The following is a 23,669-nucleotide window of genomic DNA, read 5'->3' as shown; positions in this document are numbered from 1 at the left end:
GCTTGGGAGGCTGCCTCAGGTCCCACCGCCTGCAGGGGCGGGGTTCGGAGTGCATTAGGGGAGCCCCTTGGTGGTTGATGGACCCGGCGTGGGGGCACAGCTCACCCAGAGGCAAGCGTCCTGGCGCTTCCTGTTGGCGCCCACGCTTGCAAACCTTCTGACTTGGGCTCCAGCCAAGTCCAGCCCCTCCACGGAGCCTGCCCGGCTGCCCATGGGCACCACCCCTCACCTTGTGGAGTGTGGCCCCTGCCCCGCGCCTGTGGCTGGGGCAGCTCTGAGGTCTCTGGCCTTGGTCCTTGGCATGGAAAGTAGCTGAGGGGTATGGCCCCTGTAGGCTCTTGGGGGGGACACCTTTCATCTGCACACACCCCGTCCACTGCCGGCCTGTTGGTCAGTCTGTCCATCTGTCCGTCCACTACTTGTTCGTTCATCAGACGAGTCCCGGGCTCTTGCTATGCCCCCGGCGCTCCTCTGGGGAAGGGGGCGTCTGTCTGAGGCAGGCGGGGCATCTCCCGGGGGTTCTCCTGGGGTCTGGCCTCAGGACCCCGGCGCTCCTCTGGGGAAGGGGGCGTCTGTCTGAGGCAGGCGGGGCATCTCCCGGGGGTTCTCCTGGGGTCTGGCCTCAGGACCCCGGCGCTCCTCTGGGGAAGGGGGCGTCTGTCTGAGGCAGGCGGGGCATCTCCCGGGGGTTCTCCTGGGGTCTGGCCTCAGGACCCCGGCGCTCCTCTGGGGAAGGGGGCGTCTGTCTGAGGCAGGCGGGGCATCTCCCGGGGGTTCTCCTGGGGTCTGGCCTCAGGACCCCGGCGCTCCTCTGGGGAAGGGGGCGTCTGTCTGAGGCAGGCGGGGCATCTCCCGGGGGTTCTCCTGGGGTCTGGCCTCAGGACCCCGGCGCTCCTCTGGGGAAGGGGGCGTCTGTCTGAGGCAGGCGGGGCATCTCCCGGGGGTTCTCCTGGGGTCTGGCCTCAGGACGGTGTGTGGACCCATTCAGTTAGCCCCAAGTGTTCCTCACCAAATTGCAGCTGCTAACAGGTGGCGGCCGCTCCTGTTGCTTTCCTGTTATAAACAGGTGGCGCTGTGGGGCCAGGTCCTCCTCAAACAAGGCGGAGGAGGGAAGTCCTGGGAATCGGGGGCCTGGCCTAAGAAGGTGCCTTCTGAAAGGAAAAAAGCTAACCCCTCCATGGAGAGGTCCCTGTATTCACAAGACTGTGTTGATTCCTGACATGGTGGAGGAAGGAGGCCTGAGATGCCACTCACAGTTGTGCCAAGAGATGGGGAGGGGGGCCCAGATTGGAGAGGAGAACTCTGGAGTCCAGGACGAGGTCCATCCTCCTTCCCTTGACCCCTACAATCCCTGGGGTTCCTGGATGGCAATGGTGGTCTGGACGACTGTAGCTGGGGAGAGGAGGCTGGGGACCCATCAGTCCTGCTGTACCATTTGGGAGACTGGCCCGAGGTCCGGCAACCCACGTCTCCAGGGATGGTCTGTCCTCCAGCGGTCCCCTGTGGGCGGAGGATGACCCAGGTGCCCAGGCAAGAGACTGAAGGCACAAACTGTTTCAGTATAATAAAGAAAATAGAATAAGAATAGTCATAATACAAATTAGATATAGAGATGCTCATGGACAATTATCAATCATTATTATAAACATTATTAGTCATTAGCTTTTAATATTACTCTTTGTTCCATTACTATATAACCTAGGAATAAGCGGTGGGTATAGGGTCAGGTGCTGAAGGGACGTTGTGAGAAGTGACCTAGAAGGCAAGAGGTGAGCCCTCTGTCACGCCAACATAAGGGCCGCTTGAGGGCTCCTTGGTCAAGCGGTAACGCGAGTGCCTGGGAAGGCACCCGTTCCTTAGCCGACCGCGAAAGGGAGTCTCCTTTCCTTGGAGAGGTCGGGGAACACTCTGCTCCACCAGCTTCTTGTGGGAGGCTGGATATTCTCCAGGCCTGGCCCGCAGTCATCCGGAGGCCTAACCCCCTCCCTGTGGTGCTTGAATGATCACACTCCTTGTCCACTTTCATGCTCCTCCCGTACTCCTGGTTCCTCTTTGAAGTTCGTAGTAGATAGCGGTAGAAGAAATAGTGAAAGTCTTAAAGTCTTTGATCGTTCTTATAACTGCATAGAAGACAACACTGATGTATGCTGCCTTTCCTCTCTACTTCGGCTACCTAAGAGGGAAGGGTCACCGTAAGGTGACTTGCTTCACCTTATCACTTAGAAGATTCACCCTCCTTATCCTGCCCCCTTGTCTTGTATGCAATAAATATCAGCGCGCCCAGCCGTTCAGGGCACTACTGGTCTCCGCGTCTTGATGGTAGTGGTCCCCCAGGCCCAGCTGCTTTCTCTTTATCTCTTTGTCTTGTGCCTTTATTTATTACAATCTCTGGTCTCCGCACATGGGGAGAACACCCACTAAGCCCCGTAGGGCTGGACCCTACAGTCCCCAAGGCAAACTGGACAGGGTCAAGGTGGCCTCCCTGCACTGTCTGGAAAGCCCCTCCTGAAGGACCCTCCTCCCTGCACTGTCTGGAAAGCCCCTCCTGAAGGACCCTCCTCCCAGGACTGTCTGGAAAGCCTCCTGAAGGACCCTCCTCCCTGCACTGTGTGGAAACCCTCCTGAAGGACCCTCCTCCCTGCACTGTGTGGAAACCCTCCTGAAGGACCCTCCTCCCTGCACTGTGTGGAAACCCTCATGAAGGACCCTCCTCCCTGCACTGTCTGGAAACCCTCCTGTGGGGCCCTAGCCCAACACATTTGCAGCAGTCACAGGTGTATCTAGGGATCCTGGGGTCCATGAGCCCACAGGGCAGCTGTTAAGAGCCTTTGCCTTCTTCCTATATCTCCTCTCTCTTTTCTGGACTTCCTCCCGGTTCCCACTGGAAAAAACTGAGGTGGCCCCTCCCAGGATGCCCCCAAAGTACCATCTGGTCCCACAGCCCATTCCCGCATCCTCCTTCTGACATCAGGGGCCGCCTGTGCAATGAACTCATCTCCTCATCCCCTAGGACCAGCCGTTCATTGACTGAGTCAGGAGACAGAGAGGCACACTTCACCAAGGCCCCTGCCATCCCCCAGGAAGGCAGTGGGGCCAATCCCTGCTCTACCATGGACAGCCTGGTGCAATCAAGAGGCCCAGCCCCTTTCTCTCATAAGCCCTCCAGCCAAGTGCAATGAGAAGCCCAGTCCCATTCCCTCACAAGCCCTCCAGTATCACATCTGAAAGTGTTTCATCCTCCATTCTCCCATTTTATCACTGGGGTCCCATTTAGGGTCCTCCAATGGTACTGCTATTCATCCAATTGGATAAAGCTTCTCTTCTTCCCTGGCCCTATATAAGATATACAGCTCATCCCCCAAATTCTCTGCCGCTTGCGGGGTGGCCTGCTTTTCAGCAGTCAGGGTTTGATTCAGAAGTAACATGATATCCTTCCAGGAGAGCTCAAATACTTGGGTTAAGTTCTGGAAAGCCTCCATGTATCTGTCAGGGCCATCTGAAAACTTGCCAAGATCCCCCTTAATTTGACTCAGAATGGCCTAAAATGAGGATTTCTAGGCTGGGGAAAGCTTGAGAGAGAACCTGAGTAGGGAGGAGTGAAGGGTTTGATTCCTCCACTGGAGGTGCCTCTGGGGTTTGCTTCTCTATTTCCCTGGGATTGCCTCTTGCAGCCTCTCCTGAGATGGCCACCAGGAGGGCTGGATCAATCCTACAGTAGAGGCAAAGGTCCAAGTTACCCTGCAAGGCAAAGAAAGCCTGCACACACGAGGCCTGGGATCACTGGCCCTCACATTTACAGAAAAGCTTCCTCCCAAGACCATGCTTCCCTTCTGTGTCTTACACTTACAGAAAAGCTTCCTTCCTGAGACCATGCTTCTCTTCTGGGTCTCACGTTTACAGAAAAGCTTCCTTCCTGAGACCATGCTTCTTTTCTGGGTCTCAAGGTGCTTGGCACCAAGTTGGCGGCCAAGGAAATAACAAGAACATTTTTGCCACAAATTTACATACAGATACCAAGGCACACTTTACTTCGTCTGTGCTATTCTTAACCTTCCATTTTATAGTTTTGATGACTCAGTCAAATGCTCATTCTACCCAGTAATATTTCTGGTTTGCAACAACATCCTTAACATTTAACATTGTACATAAAGAAGAGATAGGAACCATGACAGCCACAAAAGAAAGACAGAAAAGAATGATAGGAAAGAGTGGAGGTCTTTGTGCCAACACCCTCATGGGAGGCTGGGGACTGGAGTCAGTCCAGGGGCCTTTGGATAACTCCAAGGGGTAACCTCAGCCAAATACCCCCAGTTGCTCTAGGACCTCCTTCTGGTCCCACGTGACAGCTAGACCTCCATGAAGGAAAACTGGGTTGGAACAAAGCCAACATTCCCAATACCTGAGGGTGATGGGGGCTTGACAGTGTCCTCCCCAGCAAGCCTGGCCTCCATGTGTTGAGTCTGGTGCTTGGAGACTAGTCGTCACTTTTAACTAATTGACAGAGGCCTGGTATTTTTCTTTCATTTTAGCTGTTGAGTTTAAGGACCACGAAGAAAGGACAGAAAGAGAAGATCCACTTTTACTTACCCTTGTGCAGATCCCAGACGAGCCCCCAAACATGTTGTGGGATATTTGGGGTGTTGCTTTTCTGGCCAGAAACCTCTGTGGCCAGGAGCACCTTTGCCTGAGTTCTTGTCCTGTGTCCAGGAAGAATGAGGTACACAGACAAGTGGAGGGTGAGCAAGACGAAGAGGAGCTTTATTAAGTGTCAGAACGGCTCAGAGGCTCTCAGCAGAGAGGAGGCTGGGAGTGAGTGGCTCCTCTCTGCAGGAAGGTCGTCCCAACGAGTGTTCAGCTCTCAGCAGAGAGGGCAGCTCCTCTCTGCAGTTGGTCGACCCAATGCCTGCAGCTATCAGCAGAGAGGGTAACTCCTCTCTGCAGTTGGTTGACCCAAGGCCTGCAATGCTCAGCAAAGAGGAGGCCCTAGTGAGGGTAGCTCCTTTCTGCAGCTGGTCATCCCGTCGTCTCTCTGTCCTCTTCTCCACTCTGGCTGAACCCAGGGCTTTTATGGGCCTCAGAGGGGAGGAAATTCATGCCAACTGGTGCATGGGCAGCCATGGGTGGGCCCGGAAAAGGCACCACAAGTCCCCACTGTGGTCCTCAGGACTGTCAGCCTGGCCCCCAGCCTTCAGGCCCACCCTGGCTTGAAGGTGGAGCCTCACCAGGGACCTGCCCATTCCCTCCCAGGAGCCTGTCTGCCTCCCACTGCCGCCCATGGTGCCCAGGCCGCTCGTGCCAAGGGGTGCCCACAGGCCAGCACTGAGCTGCCCCCAGCTCCATCTTGGCCTCCCTCCCACACTCATTGGTGCCCAAAGTCTGGAGGGGCTGAGGTGGCAGGGGACTGGCATCTCGGCACTGCTCTGAGGGTGCACACCCGGCTGGGCTGCAACAACACCCGGGCTTGGCCCCGACCCCACTCCAAGATCAGAGTGGGCGCCAGGAGCAGGGACACCCCCAAGCCTGTGGTGTTAGGGGGTCCTCCCTGGCCCCCAAGACCACCAGGAGGCCTGGGTCCACACAGCAGCAACCTGGCTGGCTGCAGCTGCCCCCGTGGTGCTCCCGCCCTGCCAACCCTGCACAAATAAACCCACTGCTCCCAGGGCTGGTTCCACGAGACCCGGCTGTGCCTTCAGCTGGGTGCTCACGGGCTCCCGGGACACGGCAGGAAGCGAGGTTGAGGTGGCTGTGGGGGTTCCAGGCCTGGGAGTGGGTCTTGCCCGGCTGTGGGGGTTCCAGGCCTGGGAGTGGGTCTTGCCCGGCTGTGGGGGTTCCAGGCCTGGGAGTGGGTCTTGCCCGGCTGTGGGGGTTCCAGGCCTGGGAGTGGGTCTTGCCCGGCTGTGGGGGTTCCAGGCCTGGGAGTGGGTCTTGCCCGGCTGTGGGGGTTCCAGGCCTGGGAGTGGGTCTTGCCCGGCTGTGGGGGTTCCAGGCCTGGGAGTGGGTCTTGCCCGGCTGTGGGGGTTCCAGGCCTGGGAGTGGGTCTTGCCCGGCTGTGGGGGTTCCAGGCCTGGGAGTGGGTCTTGCCCGGCTGTGGGGGTTCCAGGCCTGGGAGTGGGTCTTGCCCGGCTGTGGGGGTTCCAGGCCTGGGAGTGGGTCTTGCCCGGCTGTGGGGGTTCCAGGCCTGGGAGTGGGTCTTGCCCGGCTGTGGGGGTTCCAGGCCTGGGAGTGGGTCTTGCCCGGCTGTGGGGGTTCCAGGCCTGGGAGTGGGTCTTGCCCGGCTGTGGGGGTTCCAGGCCTGGGAGTGGGTCTTGCCCGGCTGTGGGGGTTCCAGGCCTGGGAGTGGGTCTTGCCCGGCTGTGGGGGTTCCAGGCCTGGGAGTGGGTCTTGCCCGGCTGTGGGGGTTCCAGGCCTGGGAGTGGGTCTTGCCCGGCTGTGGGGGTTCCAGGCCTGGGAGTGGGTCTTGCCCGGCTGTGGGGGTTCCAGGCCTGGGAGTGGGTCTTGCCCGGCTGTGGGGGTTCCAGGCCTGGGAGTGGGTCTTGCCCAGCTGTGTGAGGGTGGGGGTGGCACCGTCGGCAGCCTTGGGGACATGGGGCACTGGGGACCTGCTGCCGCCACTGCTGCTCCTGCAGTCATCCTGCTCCCCTGTCCGCCTCCTTGCAGCCTGGGGTGAAGACTTTCGGCCCTCACAGAGCCCGGGTCGGCATCCGGGGCAGAGGGAGGCGATGTCACCACAAGATCCCCCTGCAGTTCCAACACTCAGGGGCAGCCTGGGGCCGCCCCTCACCCGACTCGCAACCATGCTGGGAGACACCTCTGGGAGCGGACTGTGGGCCCCGGTTCCAGCTACTGGAAGCACCAGGCTCCGCAGGGGCAGCAGGAGCAGGTACTTCTGAGCCTACAGGGGGCCGGGTGGGGGCCTTCCTGGGCCCCCAAGAGCACAGGAATATTGAGGTGCACGCAAACGAACCCAGTGCCCAGGAGGGCCGAGCTCCTGCCTGCTCTGTGGAGTGGGAGGCCCTGCCATGCCTCTCCGCTGCGGCCAGCATCTTGGCAGTGTCCACTCTAGATGGGCCACCGCTGCCATCACTCCTGCCTCAGCCTCCCGAAGTGCTGAGATTACAGGTGTGAGCCACTATGCCCAGCCTTATCATTGATTTTTAAGAAATTTCCTCAAAGGCTGCCGCTGACCCCTGCCCTCCCCCGCCTGTGTCCTCGGCCGCCTTCACCTTCTCACGCTTGGTCTTTCTGAGCACCCTGCTTAGAAACGCAGTCACGCTCACATGGGCTGCTGCCTTCCCGGGCTTCCTTTCTCTCCACTGCCCTTGCCGCCAGCTGGTATACCAGATGTGTTATTGATGGCGTCGTCGTGCCCCGCTCCCCCCCGTATTAGAATGTAAGATCCTTGGGGGCAGCAGTTTTTGTCTGTTCCGTTCCCTGCCTTTTCCTCAGTGCGGGACATGTAGTGAGTGTGCAATGAATCATTGCTAAACGGATTAAATGATGGTGTGAATCGTCCAGATTACATGGAATTTTGACTTTTTTGTTTTCCAAGGTTAATTCTCTTTCTGATGTGCAGGCTTCCCCTGCCTGTGGTTTACATTTCTTCTATCCTTTTCTCATTTTCTTGGGTTAGCGTGGATCATTAAATCCAAGGCTAGTTCTTCTCTTGCTGCGAAACATCTGTGAGTGGGGACAAGTCCATCTGAACTAGATACACAGGGATCAGCGGGCAGGACAGCTGGTCAGCACATGGCTTCTGGGCATGTGTGTGGCCAGCCATGTCCCCTGCCCTGCGGGCACCTCTGTGGACCTGCACACCTGTGGACCAGCAGGACCTGTGAAGCCCACACCAGGCGACTGGATGCCGCTCTGGTCCACGGCAGGTCCCCCTGGTTCTTCCTTCGGCTCCACCGCCCAGCTGCCGTGAGTGCACGGTGAGCAGTGACCTCAGGACGTATCTGCAGAGGACAATTCTGGCTGCTGGGCCTAGGAGCTATTTTCCCACCCCGTGTGAACGAGGAGGTAGAAAGAAGAGTGACCGCTCAAGATGTGCCTGTCCTAGTCCCAGAACCTGTGACTGTTACCTTCATGGCAAAGGGGTTTTGCAGATGTGACTGAGTGAGGGACGTGATGGTTATCGTGGGTTTGCTGGGAGGGCCCAGTGTCATCGCAGGGGGCCTTATAAGAGAAGGCAGCAGGGTCAGAGTCACAGGAGGAGATGAGGGAGAGAGGGAGAGAGAGAGTGAGTGAGAGAGGGGAAGAGGCCAAGCTGCTGAAATCCAGGTGGCCTTGAGAAGCTGGAGAAGGCACGGACGCAGACTCACACCTAAGTCTCCCGAAGGAACCAGCCCTGCTGACACCTTAATTTTAGCATTTTTTTTTTCCGAGACAGGGCCTTGCTCTGTTTCCCAGGCTGGAGTGCAGTGATGCAACCACAGCTCACTGCAGCCCTGACCTCCCGGGCTCAGGTGATCCTCCTGCCTCAACCTTCCAAGTAGTTGGGACTACAGGTACACACCACCGTGTCTAGGGATCCGGACGCTTCAGCCTCCCAAAGTACTGGGATTACAGGCGTGAGCCACTGTGCCGGGCTTAGTTCTAGGACTTTTTATCTCCAGAACTGTAAGATAATAATTTTTTTAAGCCACTACATTTGTGCCAATTTGCTACGGCAGCCACAGGGAACTCACACACTCACTCGCTGCCTGGCAGAGTACAGCCTCCCTCCTGTGACCTGGCCCAGGCCAGGACTGAGCTGGACCCACAGGCAGAGAGGAGACAAGGCAGGAGTGGGCTTCGACCAGCCTCTGAGTCTGTCCTTCTCTGGTGTCCTGCTGACCCTGACCTGGAGGGTTCCAAAGTCATACAGGCCCCCTGATTACGGCTTCACTGGCTTGAGTTGGGTTTCTGTTTCTGGCAACCCTGAGTTCTGCCTGATCACCCCCAACCCCAGCACACGACATGCCCCACCTGGGTGCAGCAGCTCCTCCACCCTAGAGGAGGCTGGGGTGGGAATGACACCCCGATTCTGTTTGCAGAATGAGGGGAACTGAGGTGGTGACTGCTCATTCCTCGCCTCAGTGTGGGAGGGCCCTGTGCTATCTATGTCTGTTATCAGCGGGCACAGACCCCATAGACACAGGGCGGAGGAAGTCGGAAGCCCCCTCCCCACAGGGCCCGGCACAGAACCTCACAGGCAGGAAGGGGAAAGTGGTCTTGGGGGTAGGAGAAGGAGAGGTCCGGAAGGGCTGCGGCTGGGAGTCAGGAGGTCGTGCTCAGGGTCCCCCAGGGGAGAGGACTCTACCTCTCAAGAGAACAGGCACAGAGGACTAGTCAGAACTAAAAAAAATATTTCATTTCATTCTGAATAAAAAACAGAACAGACAGAACTCTTGGAAATTCTGAAAACAATGTCATCGCTACAGCAAAATTTCACAGAAATCATCGCAGAGTGGGGACCAAGGCCAGGCCCTGACCCGCCGTGAAGGCTGCCTCTCCGGGGAGGGGCACGACGCCCAGTGGGCCAGAGAGGGGCAGGCACAGGCGGTGGCTGTGCCCCTCTGACCAGCCCTGCCGGGTCTCTCGGGACCGAGCTCAAAGCCCAGCCCCCAGCAGCTGCCTCGGGACTCCCACCGGGGCTGGGAGGGGCTGCCCGTCCTCAAGACGCCCCCGTGCGAGAGCCCTTCCTGCTGCGGACGCTCCACATGCCCCTCTTGGAGTGGTAGTGGTGATAGAAATTCCGCAGTCGGAGCCGCTCCACCTCCAGCCCTGCCTGCAGGACCCTGGGGCCGGGGGCAGAGAGGTGGTCAGGACCCCGGGGTTGGGGACGGAGAGGTGGTCAGGACCCCGGGGCCGGGGGCGGAGAGGTGGTCAGGAACCCGGGGCCGGGGGCGGAGAGGTGGTCAGGACCCCGGGGCCGGGGGCGGAGAGGTGGTCAGGAACCCGGGGCCGGGGGCGGAGAGGTGGTCAGGACCCCGGGGCCGGGGGCGGAGAGGTGGTCAGGAACCCGGGGCCGGGGGCGGAGAGGTGGTCAGGACCCCGGGGCCGGGGGCGGAGAGGTGGTCAGGAACCCGGGGCCGGGGGCGGAGAGGTGGTCAGGACCCCGGGGCCGGGGGCGGAGAGGTGGTCAGGACCCCGGGGCCGGGGGCGGAGAGGTGGTCAGTACCCTGGTCCAGGGGCTGGGGGTGTCAGGGCTGCCTCGAGCCTGCATGGCCCCAGTGGGATGATGGGGACTCAGGGCCACCCAGGGCCTATGGGATCGGGGGCAGAGCTGGTTCAGGGATGTCCCTGACCTTGCAGGACCCTGGGGGTGGGACAGGGTTTCAGAAGTGATGTGGGTGGAGGAGTCTCTCCAGGCCTACAGGATACTGGGAAGACCGGGAAGGGCAGAGTTCTCTCAGCATGTGGGCGCCGTGGGGGGCATAAATCCCCCTTCCCCATTCAGAGGAGGAGGACGCAGGGGTCAGGGTGTCACCTCTGGGGAGTGGGGAGGTGGTCACCTGTCCAGGAGCTCCCAGTCTTCACCCCCCCACTGGTCTCGGAACTCCTCCGTGTTCATTCCTCCAACCCGGTCAAAGTCCGACTTGTAGATCCCAAAAAGGCCAAAGCCGTTCACCTCCCAGTAACCTGGGGCGGGAGGGTGAGGGGTGCTACCCTTCAGACCAGGTCCTGCAAGGTCCCCCCGGCAAAGCGCCGCTAGGAGACCTCGGGAGGGGTCAGGTGCCGGGTCCCATCACCACGGGGGCTTCCGGGAGTCGTCCGGTGGTACTGGGTCATGACCCTGGAGCGCGGTGCATAAACGCGGGATACTGGAGGAGGTTCCTGGGGCCCCTGGCATGGCCCTGGGTGTGCTGGTGCGGGGGGACTGGGGCTCTGGGCACTACGGGGAGCACTGATGGACTCCCAGGCCTCCCCTGGGAATTGAGAGAGGCCCCGGGTTCCTGGACTTTACCGCGGCGGTTGGTGGGAACCCTGGTATCACAGGGTGGGACGCTCGGGGCCTCACCGTGGGGGTCCCGGGGCGAGCTCCCGCAGCTCAGGCGCATGACCACGGGCGCGAAGGCCAGCCTGCCCTCCACGCAGTGCTTGCGGATGCCGTCCAGGATGTTGGGTGGGAAGTGGATGTGCAGGTCGCAGAGGAACACGATGCTGCTGGCGTCCTGGGGGGTGCGGGAGGTCTGAGCCCCGCCCTCCGCTCCTCCCCGGGCACGCCCCGTTTTGCTCCCCGACCCCCATGGGGCCCTCGGACCTCTACCGCGTCCACTCCCGCCTGCAGCCCGGCGGAGCGCTCGAAGTTCCCGGTTCGTCTCAGGTACTGGTACCTGGGGAGGGCGAGTCACAGGCACGATCTCTGGGGGTGGGGTCAGGAAAACCCATCTCCCGGGGAGGAAAGCTGCGCTGGGTCCGCCCAGGTGGAAGTAGGGGTCGTTACCGGGGCAGGCGCGCGGCGCGCAGGGCCCGCTCCACGTCCATATCCTCGCTCTCGAAATCCACCAGGACGACGCTGAAACGCGAGTCCCCGGTGCGCGCGTGCAGCGCAGCCATGTCCGCCAGGAACTGTGCCACCCACCGTGCCTGGTTTTTCACTGGAGGAGAAAAGGCGGGGGGGGCGCTGAGCCGACGCTGACTCTACGGTGGGGCCTCCCAGCTCCGAAGAACTTCATCCCGGACACCCACACCCTTTCCTAGTCATTAGGGTCCATGTTCCTTCCACGAGGTCTCCCGGACACCCCGAGCCCGCCCTGCGAACCTGGCACGATGAAGTGAACCATCACGTCCTGGCGCCAGGCCAGGCGCAGTGGCCGGCAGAGCTCGGGGCGGCCGTCGGGGCGCACGGAGGCGGCGGGAGCGGGTTCGGGACTTTCTCCGTCTGCATCCCCTACGCGGGCTCCCGGCAGCCGCAGGAAGACGTACTCGGACAGTCGCAGGCGGCCGCCCCCGCGCTCCTGCAGCTCCAGCTCCAGCAGGAAGCGACTCCCTCGCGCCGAGTCCCGGCGCTTCTCCACGTTCACGATGCGCAGAAGCGCGAAGCGCCTGCAAGGCTCAGCGGTCAGCCGGTACTGGGGCTTCCAGCCTGCACCCCGCCCGCAACCCTGGTCCGCCCTGGCCACAGAAACTCAGCCGACTTGGAGTTGGCGGAGGCTGCGGGCTCCGCGGCACAGCACCTGCCCCTCCAGGTTGGCCCAGCAGGCAGGTCCACCTTCCAGCCACCCCCTCCAGGGTCGGGGCAGGACTGGGGGCACACCAGCGAGCCCAGGCCCATCCTCACCTCCTCGCGGGCCTCCTGGCCACCACTCACGTCCCAGGTGACGTTTATGACATGCCCGCCTGTCCTGTTACCCCCTTGCTCAGAAACCTTCAGGAGTTAGCCACCGCCCATAGGACAAGGTTCCAAGGGGCTTTTGTGGCATTCTAGGACCTTAAGCAGTTTTGATTTTGTGGCTTTCAACCTTCCCCTCATACTGGGGTAGCAGACTCCTCCTCAGGCACAGCCACTGTCTCCTCTCCTTTGTCCTGAGGAGTCCCCTGCCTGGGATGTTTGCCCCAGTCCTCCCAGCCACTCCTCTTCCAGGCCCTGGGTCACCTCTTCTGAGAAGCCCCCAATCGTGCCTTCACAGCACCCCTTTCCCCCAGGCAGCAGTTCCGCTCCTGTCCTGATCCCTGAGTGGAGGAGGCTGCTTCCATGCTGGGAGCCCGTTCCTGGCCCCTTCCTCCTCATTCCACTCGGCCAAGAACCTCAGTTTCCCTCCACTCTGCTCTCCTCATCTGGAGAAAACAGGACCCTGCCCTAGACGATGGTTTCTCTTCAGTCGGCCTCACGTCCTCCCTTGGCAGTCTGTGCCTTTCACTGGGGGACGCCCACCTGTGTGACAGCTGAGGGTCCAAGGCCTCCCTCCAACTCCTGTCCTTCCCCACCCCAAAGCCCTGAGTGTCAGGGACCTCCTGCCCCAAATGCTCTTGGTCTCTCTACACTGTTGCTCCTTGAGCCATACCCAGGTGGGCATTGGTGGGGCCACAACCATGATCTTCCCATGAGGCCCCCAAGAAATGACGAGCTGCTCTCAGGAAGCTTAGAGCCGGGGCAGGCGTGCCCTCTGAGCCACCTAGAATCCAGCACCCACCGCCCAGGGCTCCAGGCTGTCAGTCACCACCACCACCTTCCCTTCCCCTCCAGGCAGAGGCATACCTGTCTGCACCCAAACCGGTGGAATTCCTGCTCTGCTCGCAACCTTCCATCATGCACACAAGAAACAGTCACATGCAGCTGTGCCTCCATCCTCTGCCCCTGCCTTTGCTCTGCTCGCAACCTTCCATCACACACATGAGAAACAGTCCTGGCCCTGTCTCCATCCTCTGCCCCTGGCTTTGCTCTGCTCGCAACCTTCCATCACGCACAGGAGAAACAGTCCCGGTTCTGCCTCCATCCTCTGCCCCTGCCTCTGCCTGTCATCACTGTGCAACTCCTAACTCGCCTTCAAGGCTGGGCACAGCAGACACTGCCTCTTCTTAGAACTCCACAGGCCTCCCCAAGGCCAAATTAGACTCCCCACTCCTGCCCACCAGCCTGCAGGGAGGGCAGACAGCACTAGATTCCTGGGGCCTCAGGGAGACCAGAGGGGCCAATGGGGCAGAAGCCCTGCACCTTCCTCTGCAGTCGGGTCCTGACAGTCTGGGAACGCCCAGGGGCACTGCGAGGGGAGAGGAGGAGGGGCCCAGGGGTCTTGAGCTTTGCCCTAAGGGTCTCTGCCTGGCCCCCCCGGAATGGGGCTGTCTGCGCAGCAACTGGATGCGACTGACGCTGATCTCTGCAGCTTGGACTCATCCCTGGGCCCAGGTCCAGGATGACAGAAGTGGGGTACACAGGTGCAAGGATGGGGCGCCAGCCCTGGGTGGGGCTCCAGGGAGGTCCCTGAGGCTGGACAAGTGCCCGGGCAGTCAGGACGCCAGGAAGGAAGGAGAGAAGCTGGGGCTTCCCTGGGGTGGGGCGCGGTGCCTCAGCCCCCAGGCCGGTACACCACTGGGCCCTGGGGAAGGTCTGAGGAGTCCGCCAAGGCCAGGACCTCCTCTCCCCGGCTGTCCCCGCCTCCAAAACCGCCCTGGCGCGCGTTCGGCCGCCCCCATACCCGCCGTGGCGCGCGTTCAGCCGCTCCATGTACTGAGCGGTCACGTCCACGGCCTCCGCCTCCGGCAGCTGCAGGTTCCCCGAAACGTTGCATCGCAGGTCGTTCCAGTCCGAGCGCAGCAGCTCGAAGTCCACGGCGCCCACGCTGAACGTGCGCTGCCAGTCGATGGCGTCCTCACGCCAGCGTCCGAGCGCCGGGCCCGCGGCCTCCTCGCTGTCCTCCGACGCGGCCTCGTCGCCCGGGGCCCCATCGTCCTCCCCTTCCTCCTCCTCTTCGCCCTCCCCGGGCAGCTGCGGCCCGGACACCTGGGACAAGCTCAGGAAGGAGGTCACGGGCCGCGCTTCGGAGGACAAGTTTGAGTCCACTGTGGGCGCCGCAGGTCCCAGCGTGCGCGCCTGGCCCTCCCGGCCCCCTTGGGTGGCCTGCGCCCGGGCTGGGGGCCTCGGCTGTGTGGCCTGGGGGCCGCCGGTCCTGCGGCCGTGGGGCCGGGGTGGGCGTGGGGGCGCCCGCAGCTGCACTCTGGGCAGAGGCCTGGGGTGCAGGAAGACGCCAGGGAAGGGCGGCCAGGGCGCACGCGGCGCTGGGGCCCGGGGGGATGCCCGCTGTCCCGGCCGCACCCTGGTCACGTACACCTTTGGGGGCGGCTGCTCCACTGCAGGGCGCGGGGGCGGAGCTCGGCCCAAGAAGAGCGGCAAAGGGCGGGCGGCCCTGGCGGCCCAGCTCAGGGCCCGGGAGTGCCTGGGGGTCCCCCCGTCCCGGGGGCGGGGAGGGGTCGGCGGGGCGAGGGTGGCTCCGGGCTGGGCGGGGGCTGCTGGGGCGGGGGACTGGGGGCCGCTCCTGGGCGGGGCCGCCTCGGTGGGCTCCAGGCTGTCGAGCAGCTCCCCCTCGTCCTCGTCGTCCAGGAAGTCTGCGGGAAACGCGGGTTAGAAGCTCCCTGCGCAGGTGGGTGCGGGCCAGGGGCGCTGCGGACACTCACCGTCCGGGTTGAGGAAGAGGAAGGCTCGGCGCTGCACCTCGTCTTCTTCATCCTCATCCCCCTCCTCCTTGTCCATCTTCATGTATTTATAGAACCCAAACCTGGGGCGCGGCGGGGCATCAGAGCCGAGTCCCGCCCCGCCCACCCCGCCCCGCATTAGCCCGGCCGCGCGCCCACCTCTCCAGATACAGCGGAGACTCGCGGTAGAAGCACTTGTTGTCCGTCTCCATGTGGGTGAGGCGAGTGTAGTCGTTGGGATAAACGAAGGACAGGTACACCTGGGGGGTGGGGGGGCGCAGGGCTCAGGGCGCGGACCTCCCGGGGCGGCCTCCCAAGGGGCTGGAGAAGGCTCCGCGGAGTCCCGGACGGGAGACGGGGTCTCCAGCCGCACTCACAAATTGCAGGCCCTGGTATCTGGCGATCGGGAAGTCCTTGACCACGTAGGTGGGGGCGTAGGCGCAGGGCTCCAGCACGTTCTCCAGGCTCGAAGATTCCATGCGTGGAGCTGCAGGAGGTGCGGTCACAGGGTGGCTGGGGCAGGCACCCCCGCCCTCGCCCCCGCGCGGGCCCCCTCTCACTGAGGAAAAAGGTATCCCTGGGATCTGGCCGCAGCATGTCTGCGCTGGTCTCCTCCTGCGGCGGACGCCCCCCCACGTGGCTGGCTGGAGACTGGGGGACGTGCGCCACGTGGTCCATCTTCAAGGCTGACTCATCTGGGGGCAGAAGAGTTCCAGGGAGTGCTCAGACCCCCTCCTCCACTCTTCCCACTCACACCCAGAGCCCATCCCGAGGAGCCCCACATCCCCAGAGGCGTCCGCTCGCACCTGTGTACAGGGAGATGTGAGCAGAGCTGATGACCTCGAACTTCAGGCCGGGCAGGAAAGCTCGCCACTGCGGGGCAGAGAGGGTGGGGGTCAGGGACAGGGCGGTGGCTGGGTCCAGGGAAGAAAGGGTCTACCCTGGCTCAGGGCCGGGGGACTAATAGGACCAATCCCTTAAAGGATGCAGGAGAGGAGATGGCAGAGGGGTCCGGGGCGTTCCAAGAAGGGGCAGCAGGGAAGCTGGGGAAGGAAGCCCAGAAAGCTGAGGGACCCTGGGAGCAGGGCCAGACCCCACCATGCTCCCTTCCTCACCTTTCCTCCTCCCTCCCTTCCTCCTCCCTCCCTTCCTCCTCCCTCCCTTCCACCTCCCTCCCTTCCTCCTCCCTCCCTTCCTCCTCCCTCCCTTCCTCCTCCCTCCCTTCCTCCTCCCTCCCTTCCACCTCCCTCCCTTCCTCCTCCCTCCCTTCCACCTCCCTCCCTTCCTCCTCCCTCCCTTCCACCTCCCTCCCTCCCTTCCTCCTCCCTCCCTCCCTTCCTCCTCCCTCCCTTCCTCCTCCCTCCCTTCCTCCTCCCTCCCTCCCTTCCTCCTCCCTCCCTCCCTTCCTCCTCCCTCCCTTCCTCCTCCCTCCCTCCCTTCCTCCTCCCTCCCTCCCTTCCTCCTCCCTCCCTCCCTTCCTCCTCCCTCCCTCCCTTCCTCCTCCCTCCCTTCCTCCTCCCTCCCTTCCTCCTCCCTCCCTTCCTCCTCCCTCCCTTCCTCCTCCCTCCCTTCCTCCTCCCTCCCTTCCTCCTCCCTCCCTTCCTCCTCCCTCCCTTCCCCCTCCCTCCCTTCCCCCTCCCTCCCTCCCTGAGGCCCCCCCGCCCCGCCTCAGGTTAAGATTTCCAACCCCACCCAGTGAGGGTCACTGCTGGCCCCCTAAGGGCCAGGCTGGATGCCCCCCCCACTCTACCCCCACCAAGTTGGGGCTCCAGGGGCTGTCTCAGGCCCTTCTGTTCCCACCTCATCCTGGGGCCTCCACAGACCACCCCAAACCCCTGTCTCCAGTCTGGGCCCTCTGCCCAGCTGAGCTGGGGTGAAACGTGCCCTCCACACACCAGACACAGGCACCATCGTGCTGCCCCCCACACCCACCAGGCTGCAGGCCCTCTGCCTTGCTGTATAACCCCTTCCGCCTTCCCCCGTCCATCCCCACAGCCACCTCCCTGGGTTTGAGGACCAAAGGCCACAGTAAAAATCCTTCCCCCAGGCTCTCTCCGCTTTGTGGCCAGGGGTTTTTTCCTGGAATGCAAATCCAATGGCCTCATTCTCAGGACAAAGGCCTATCTGTCCAGAGTGCTGCTCAGGCCCCGCCTGATCTGGCCACCAGACCCCTCCTAGTCTCGAAGACCCGGTTCCTCTGCTGGGTCTGTTCCTTCGCTGTTCTTGTGGTGTGGAATTCATCCGCCGTACACCCCACCCCAAATTCTCTGCCCCCCACATCTCCCTACTGAAGGTCTCCATCCTCTCAAGACTCTACTCAAAGGTGACTCCTAGTGAAGCCTCACCGAGCCCCCCAGGAGGGCAGAGCAGACCCTCCTGACCTCAGGCCCATGGCCCTGACCATCTGCTTTGTCAACTTTGGGACGGGGACCCCATTGCGGTTGTCCTGCAGGGAGGTGGGGGGAGTGGAGTCTCCAGAAGCCCCCAGGGGAGGAAGGCACTCACGCCCACTTCCACGTGGTCCGAGCCGCGGTCGTCCTGCTTGTGCAGCAACTCAAAGTAGTACCTCCGGGAGGCCATGAGCCTGGGGACACGAGGAGCAAGGGTCGTGCCATGCACAGGACGCTCAAATAGTGGAGGCAGGGAAGGGGGCAGGTGGCTCCCACACCCCTCAGGGCTGGCCCTCAGGAGGATGGCAGCTTGGCCGGGCGGGTGCTCGTGCAGAGTGTGCGCAAGTGTGCACAGGATAAGGAGACAGCGCGTAACCCCCTCCCACGAATACACAAGTGCACGCACATGCACCCCACAGTCACTCACCGCCTGGGCTTGGACACCTGGGAGCTGAACTTGGTGAATTCTCCAGGCGCTGTCCACTCGGAGCCAGTCTGGGGGGTGATAGAGCAGGGGTGGTGGTGGGGGGGGGGGTTCACTCTCTCCCTGGGGACACCAAACCCATCGGGTCCTCATTCCCAAGAGGCTGGTGGGCACAGGTGACTGAGCTGCAGGAGGCCCGGGACGACACCAGGGCTGGGGTGGGGGTACCTTGCCCACAAAGGCCACAAGCTGGGCAGCAGCAGGGCTCTCGTCCAGACTCAGCCAGAACTCCGAGTTGTCGTCTGAGGCCACAGAAAACTGGACGTCTCCTAGTCCACAAGACTAGGCTCAGGGGGGTGGAGCCTCACGGCACCCCTCCCCCGGGGCACCCTCACCCCCGTACCGTCCCTCGCCGGGTGGATGAAACCAAAAATACGGAGTCCATAGTTCTTCCACTTGGGGGACACGGCCAACTTCTTCACGGTGGTGCGCGTCTGGGGGGGCAGTGACTGTTGCTGTCGAAGCCCCCTGCGTGCCCTGCCCACCCGGCACCCCCCAACCCCGGCACTCACATGAGGGAACAGCGGGAAGTGCAGGTTCCTCCTCAGGTGGCCCACGGCGCCCCCACACCAGTCCTCAAACACGTGCAGGTTCACCTGCCCCTTGTACTGGGGATGGGGGGGCCTTACCTTCTGCACGGCCCGCCGCCCCCCCGCCCCAGCCCCCGCCCTGCCTCCCAGCCCATTACAGGCCGAGCCAGCTCACCTCCTCCCGCCATGGGGGTGTCTGATGGGTGAAGTTCAGTGGCAGCCTCCCAGCCCCCCCAGGAAACAGCATGTCTAGGTCCCGACCTTCGGGCTGCAGGAGAGAAAAGGCAACAGGGTCAGGGTTGGAAGGGCAGGGAGGAGGTCACACACACCAAGACAAACCTTCACAAAGACCCCTTCCAACATGTATCCACACAGCCCTAAATGCCCGTGAGCCCCAGCCATGCAAACCCTGACCTGTGGCACCTGGCACATACACTCAGACACCCTGGTCACTCTAGCCCAAGCAGATGCTTGGCCACCCCACACACTGACCGGCCGGCACATTCATGCACCTGCTGCAGCCCCCAGACACAGAGCTCCAGACAGGATGGCTGGTGCTGGAGCTCACACAGACAAGCTGTGCCGTGCCCCACATGTCCTGTGTCTCATGCCCCCTGCTGCGTCCTCCAGAATGGACAGGTTCTCAAGACACCAACACACAAGTGGCTTCGGGGTCTCGTCTCCGTGCACACGTGTTCTCCCCAGGGCTCTGCTCACCGCTTGCTCCTCTTCACGGCTCTCACTGGAGTCCTCAGCCCTCTGTGTGGATGGCGCAGCGTGGACCCCCCGGCCGTCGGTCTCACTGGTCAGCTTCTCACCATCTGCAGGTGGCACATGAGGCCTGTCTCGGGCCCAGGCTCTCTCCAAGGCCATTCTGCCTGCTGCTGGGTTCAGCTGGGCCAGGGACCCACATGGCCAGAGCAGGGCAGGCAGGCTGTGGTGTCTCTCACTAAAGCCTCTCCTTCTCATCTGCTTCCTCTGCCACCAGATGCCCCTCCCCCCAGCAAGGCAACTTCTTCTACACCCCACCTCTGGTGGGGCAGCCCAGGCTGAGCCTTCCAGCAGGCTCTTCCCAACCTCCAGCAGGTGTGAGGGAGGAAAGCCGGGTGGGCCAGCTGGCGTGTGTAGGCACCCACATGCACCTCCATCTGGCCATTCTTGTTGAGTGGCTCTGCCTCCAGGAAGACCCCAGGACTGCCCTGTGCCCTCAGCACTTTCTCTGTGTGCTGGAGTGTTCCACGTCTGCCTCCCTTACCAGAACTGAGAACTCAGGGTTAGTGCCAGGGACTGTAGTCTCTCCTGAAGGATTTGAGCTCTCAAAGTCTGGACTGAGGAACAGGCATGGATGCTGACGCCCAGGCATGGCCCTGGAGCAGAGGGTGGCCCTGGATTGAGTGTCCTTGGGTAGGAGGACCAGGAGGGGCAGAATTGGGGTGAAGAGAAGCATCCCTACAGATGCTCAGATCCCAGGGCGTGGAACCCCCTGGGGCTGCAGTGGGGATGTCTAGGTCCTCAGCTTAGGGAGGTCCAGGAAGTGGAGAGGGCTGGGGTGCAGAGCTGGCCTGCCCAGGCTTGTGGGGAGGCAGTAGAGATGTCCACAGGCAGATCTGGGAAGGGTCCCCCAGGGCTCCCCTGACTTGGGCCCCAGGTCCCCCGACAGAACAGTCTGCTCACTCGCCCTCTCCCTGGGCAGCTGTTGGGCTCCTCTGGTCCTGGCCCTAGCCTCAGAGGTAGCAAGTGTACAGGTGCCCTGGGGCGGAGCTGGCTTAGCCTCAAGGGGTCCTTGGAAGAGGGGTCCCTATGCCTCCGCCCCCTCCTGGTTGGGCTTAGACCCCTGCGCTGCTCAGAAAACCACAGAGGAGCCTGCAGAGGGGGCTGGTTTTGTTCTGTGTCACTGGGCCAGCTGTGGATCCTGCCCTGTCTGCTGATAGCTGGGGTGGGGCTTTTTAGGGATTCAGCAGTATCGGGGGTCTCTTGAGGGTGTGGAAGCTGTGAGGTATGTGGGTTGGGACAAGCCCCAGACCCTTGGCCTGTGTGGGTCCAGGCGTCCCGGTACAGGAAGAGAACACAGGGGCTTTGGCAGGTGGAGTGGCCCAGGAGTCCCCAGCCAGTATCATTGTTCTGCCCCCTCAGGACACCTGGCTCCCTGGAAAAGGCTCAGAGGCAGCCAGCTGGGGTCTCTCCTGGTCTGGGCATGGCACTAACCTCCCTCCTCCAGAGGGGGCATTCTGCCCCACCTTCTCCCCCAACCCCACCGCCAGGCTTTCATCTGCGCCTTCCTGTCTGGAATGCTCTTTCCCCCAAAGGTGTATGTCAAAGATCACCATCTCCAGGAGGCCCTACCCCGGCTGGCTCACCGTGACCCCATCTGCTTTGTTTGTGGGTTGGGGTTGGGAGAGTTTACGCCAGGCTCCCCAAGCTGGGCCCCATCCCTACGCATGGACCCCCACAACACTGGCACAGTTCACCGAAGGCGCCCCCGCCGGGAAGCGTCCCAGCTGCACCGGCCACTTCAGCAAGCCCCGGCCCGGGTCCCCAGCACACAGGGAAACTGAGGCCCTGCTAAGCGGGCAGGGGGTGGAGGCGAGGCCTGAGAAGGCCTCTTGGAAGCCTCAGCAGGGTCTAGGGGCAGAGACTTCCCCAGGAGCCCACCGTCAGCCCCTCACTACCGGATCCAAGCCAGATCCCAGAGTCAGGGACCCTCTCTGGGAGGGTCGCGCGCGTCACTGCCGACGTCATCGAGCGTCCGGGCCGAGCCGAACCGCGCCCCCTCCCCCCAAATCGCAGAGCGGAGAACAGCGGGCGGGGTCTCCGGGAGGGTCGGGCCCAGCCGAGACCTCTGTGCGGTGGGAGGCCCGGCCCGCGCCCCGGGGCCCCCGCCGCCCGCGCCGCCCGCGCCCCCCGCGCCGCCCGCGCCCCCCGCGCCCCCCGCGCCGCCCCCGCCCCCCGCGCCCCCCGCGCCCCCCGCGCCGTACCTCGCCCGTAGCCCAGGCGCTGGCGCAGCGCGCGTCCCTGGCGCACCAGGCCCAGGTGCACGTAGGTGAGCCACGCGGCGCAGCTCAGCAGCAGCAGCAGCAGCAGCAGCTTCATCTGCTTACGGATCTTCTTCACCGGGAGCCGCGGCATCGCGGCCGCCGCGCCCGCCCCAGGCCGCGCTCAGCGGCGCCGCTGCAGCCCCCGGCCCCCGCCCGCCCCGCGCCGCATCCCCGGCCCGCCCCGCCGCGCTCAGCGCCCGCGGCCCCGCATGGTCCTTTGTCCGCCGTGCGCGGCCACCGGGTGCGGCCGCGACCCCCCCAGGCCGCCCTCGGCCGCGGGCCCGGGGTGGGCGGCGGGGGCGGCTCCTCGCGGTGCCCCCCGCCCGGCCGCTCCCGGCTCCGCGCTCCTGGGGCGGCGGCGGGACCGAACAGCATCCACGGCTGCCACCGCGGATCGGGCCCCGGCCGCGCGCGCGGAACCAATCGGACCGAGCCAGGCCGCGGGGAGCCAATGGCGGCGCGCGGGGAGGGGTGCGGGGCGCGGGAAGGCGGGGCGGGGCGCGGGGTGCGGGGCGGAGGAGGCGGGGCGAGGGGAGGCGGGGCGGGGCGGGGGGTGCGGAGGGTGCGGGGCGGGGGGTGAGGGGTGCGGGACGGACAGGGATGCGGGGCGCGGGGCGCGCGTCCACCTGGGCCACGGAGCGCGGGGGCGCGGCACACAGACGCGGGGCTGGGAAGCGCTGGGGCTCGGGGACCGTGGGGGGCGGCGGGGGATGGGCACAGCCTGACTGTGGGGCGGGGCGGCCTCCCGAGAACAGTGACCCGAAGGACTGCAGGCGGACAACACGGAGGAGGGAGGGGAGGGACCCGGGGTCCTGGGGGGCGGGGAATGGGGGCGGGCGAGAGAGGCCGGGGGGCGGGGGGGCCCAAGCACCGGCTTCAGCCCAGGGGTGGGAGTCGTTGCGGGATCTCAGCCTGCAGGGCTGGGGCCGCAGGGGGCCGAGCTGTCTGGGCGGCAGGAGGGGCCTCAGCTGGTGGCCCCCGCCCCACCGAGCGCGGCCTGAGGCAGGTGACAGTGTCGTGCCTCTCACCGGGACCTTGTCCCACTTCGTGCCCTTTCTCACCTGGTCTGCACCAACCCCTGCCAGTCCCTCTGTCCCCCCAGTACTTCCCTTGTCCAGCTGCCAGCGTGACCCTACTCTTCTCCCTCTGTCTGCTCAGCTGTCTCTGGGTGTGTAGCAAACCGCCCAGCTTCAGTGCTGTCCAACAGCAGCGTTCCTGTGTTCCTGTGTCCTGTGGGTCAGGAACTCAGGGCACTCGGGGACAGCTCCTCTCTGCTCCTCGAGGTGCTGGCCTCCGGTGGGAAGACGTGAGTGGTGGGGCCGGCTCCGCGGGACAGGCTGGAGCCATCCAGAGACTTCTGCCCCAAGCCAGTGCACCCTCGGCAGGAATGGCTGGGCTCACCCCGGGTGGTTGGCCAGAGCGCCTGCAGGCTCAGCTGCCAGGGGCAGCCTCCCGGTCCAGCACACAGAGTGAAGCATCTTGGAGTCACCCCTCAGGTTTGCCACATGCCGCACGGCCACCCAAGTTCGTGGGTTGTGGGGACGTGGACCCCACCTCACAATGGAAGATTGCCCAGAAGTTGCCTTCTTAAGACCTCAACTCCTTCCCTCCTTCCCCTCCATCCTCCTCCCCTAACTTCTGAGCACAGAAGCAAGCTGGTTACATCCTGCTGTTCATACCGGCCCTTAAACAACACCCGGTCTCTCAAACCTTCCCCCACCCCATCAGCTCCTCATCTCCTGCCTCCTGCAGTCCACTTTTCATATTTCTGTTATCTGCATATTCATTAAAATATAGTGCCCCACCCCTTTTTGAGACAGGGTCTCACTGTGTCTCTGAGGCTAGAGTGCAGTGGTGCAATCTCAGCTCACAGCAGCCTTGACCTCCTGGGCTCAAGCGATCCTCCCACTTCAGGTTCTTGAGGAGCTGGGACTACAGGCATGCATCACCATGCCGGACTAATTTTTTGTATTTTTTTTTTTAACAGATTCAGGGTCTCACCATGTGTCCCGGGCTGGCGTTGAACTCCTGGGCTCAAGTGATCCTCCCGCCTTGGCCTCCCAAAGTGCTGGGATTCCAGGCGTGAGCCACTGTGCCCGGCCAGTGGTGCTCTTTT

The 23,669-nt window shown here is 63.2% G+C and overlaps 1 protein-coding gene across 3 annotated transcripts, besides 2 other annotated features; it reads right to left on the bottom strand.

The window, feature by feature from the left end:
* Positions 1–9,330: 9,330 nt before the first annotated feature.
* Positions 9,331–21,949, bottom strand: B4GALNT4 (beta-1,4-N-acetyl-galactosaminyltransferase 4). Of its 3 annotated transcripts, none has more exons than NM_178537.5 (20): positions 21,494–21,949; positions 19,236–19,339; positions 18,694–18,786; positions 18,501–18,596; positions 18,332–18,422; positions 18,157–18,257; positions 17,932–17,999; positions 17,620–17,698; positions 15,921–15,987; positions 15,675–15,809; positions 15,492–15,601; positions 15,274–15,374; positions 15,097–15,197; positions 14,121–15,027; positions 11,747–12,030; positions 11,429–11,582; positions 11,246–11,318; positions 11,003–11,156; positions 10,497–10,623; positions 9,331–9,779 (listed from the first exon to the last, which is right to left on the bottom strand). In NM_178537.5, the coding sequence occupies exons 1-20, from the start codon at positions 21,642–21,644 to the stop codon at positions 9,656–9,658; spliced, it is 3,120 nt and encodes a 1,039-aa protein (NP_848632.2). In that variant the 5' UTR covers positions 21,645–21,949; the 3' UTR covers positions 9,331–9,655. The 3 variants fall into 3 exon arrangements, 2 of the variants coding, with proteins under 2 accessions (NP_848632.2, XP_016873143.1); XM_017017654.2 differs by lacking the exon at positions 21,494–21,949 and adding an exon at positions 19,774–21,241; XR_001747858.2 differs by lacking the exons at positions 9,331–9,779; positions 10,497–10,623 and having other exon boundaries at positions 11,064–11,156; positions 11,246–11,347.
* Positions 11,180–11,337: a silencer, noted in NCBI's record as "fragment chr11:380111-380268 (GRCh37/hg19 assembly coordinates)". NCBI's record gives its function as "represses an EF-1alpha promoter that drives an FKBP-Casp9 reporter gene in an ReSE screen in HepG2 liver carcinoma cells {active_cell/tissue: HepG2}" and the evidence as "EXISTENCE:reporter gene assay evidence [ECO:0000049][PMID:32094911]".
* Positions 22,878–23,416: an enhancer, noted in NCBI's record as "H3K27ac-H3K4me1 hESC enhancer chr11:368032-368570 (GRCh37/hg19 assembly coordinates)". NCBI's record gives its function as "activates a minimal SCP1, AML or CMV promoter by ChIP-STARR-seq in naive H9 embryonic stem cells {active_cell/tissue: H9 hESC(naive)}" and the evidence as "EXISTENCE:reporter gene assay evidence [ECO:0000049][PMID:30033119]".

Source organism: Homo sapiens, chromosome 11 (genome assembly GCF_000001405.40).
Source record: "Homo sapiens chromosome 11, GRCh38.p14 Primary Assembly".
Taxonomy (NCBI): domain Eukaryota; kingdom Metazoa; phylum Chordata; class Mammalia; order Primates; family Hominidae; genus Homo; species Homo sapiens.
The sequence above is the reverse complement of the archived record's forward strand: the minus strand, read 5'-3'. Positions and strand labels throughout refer to the sequence as shown.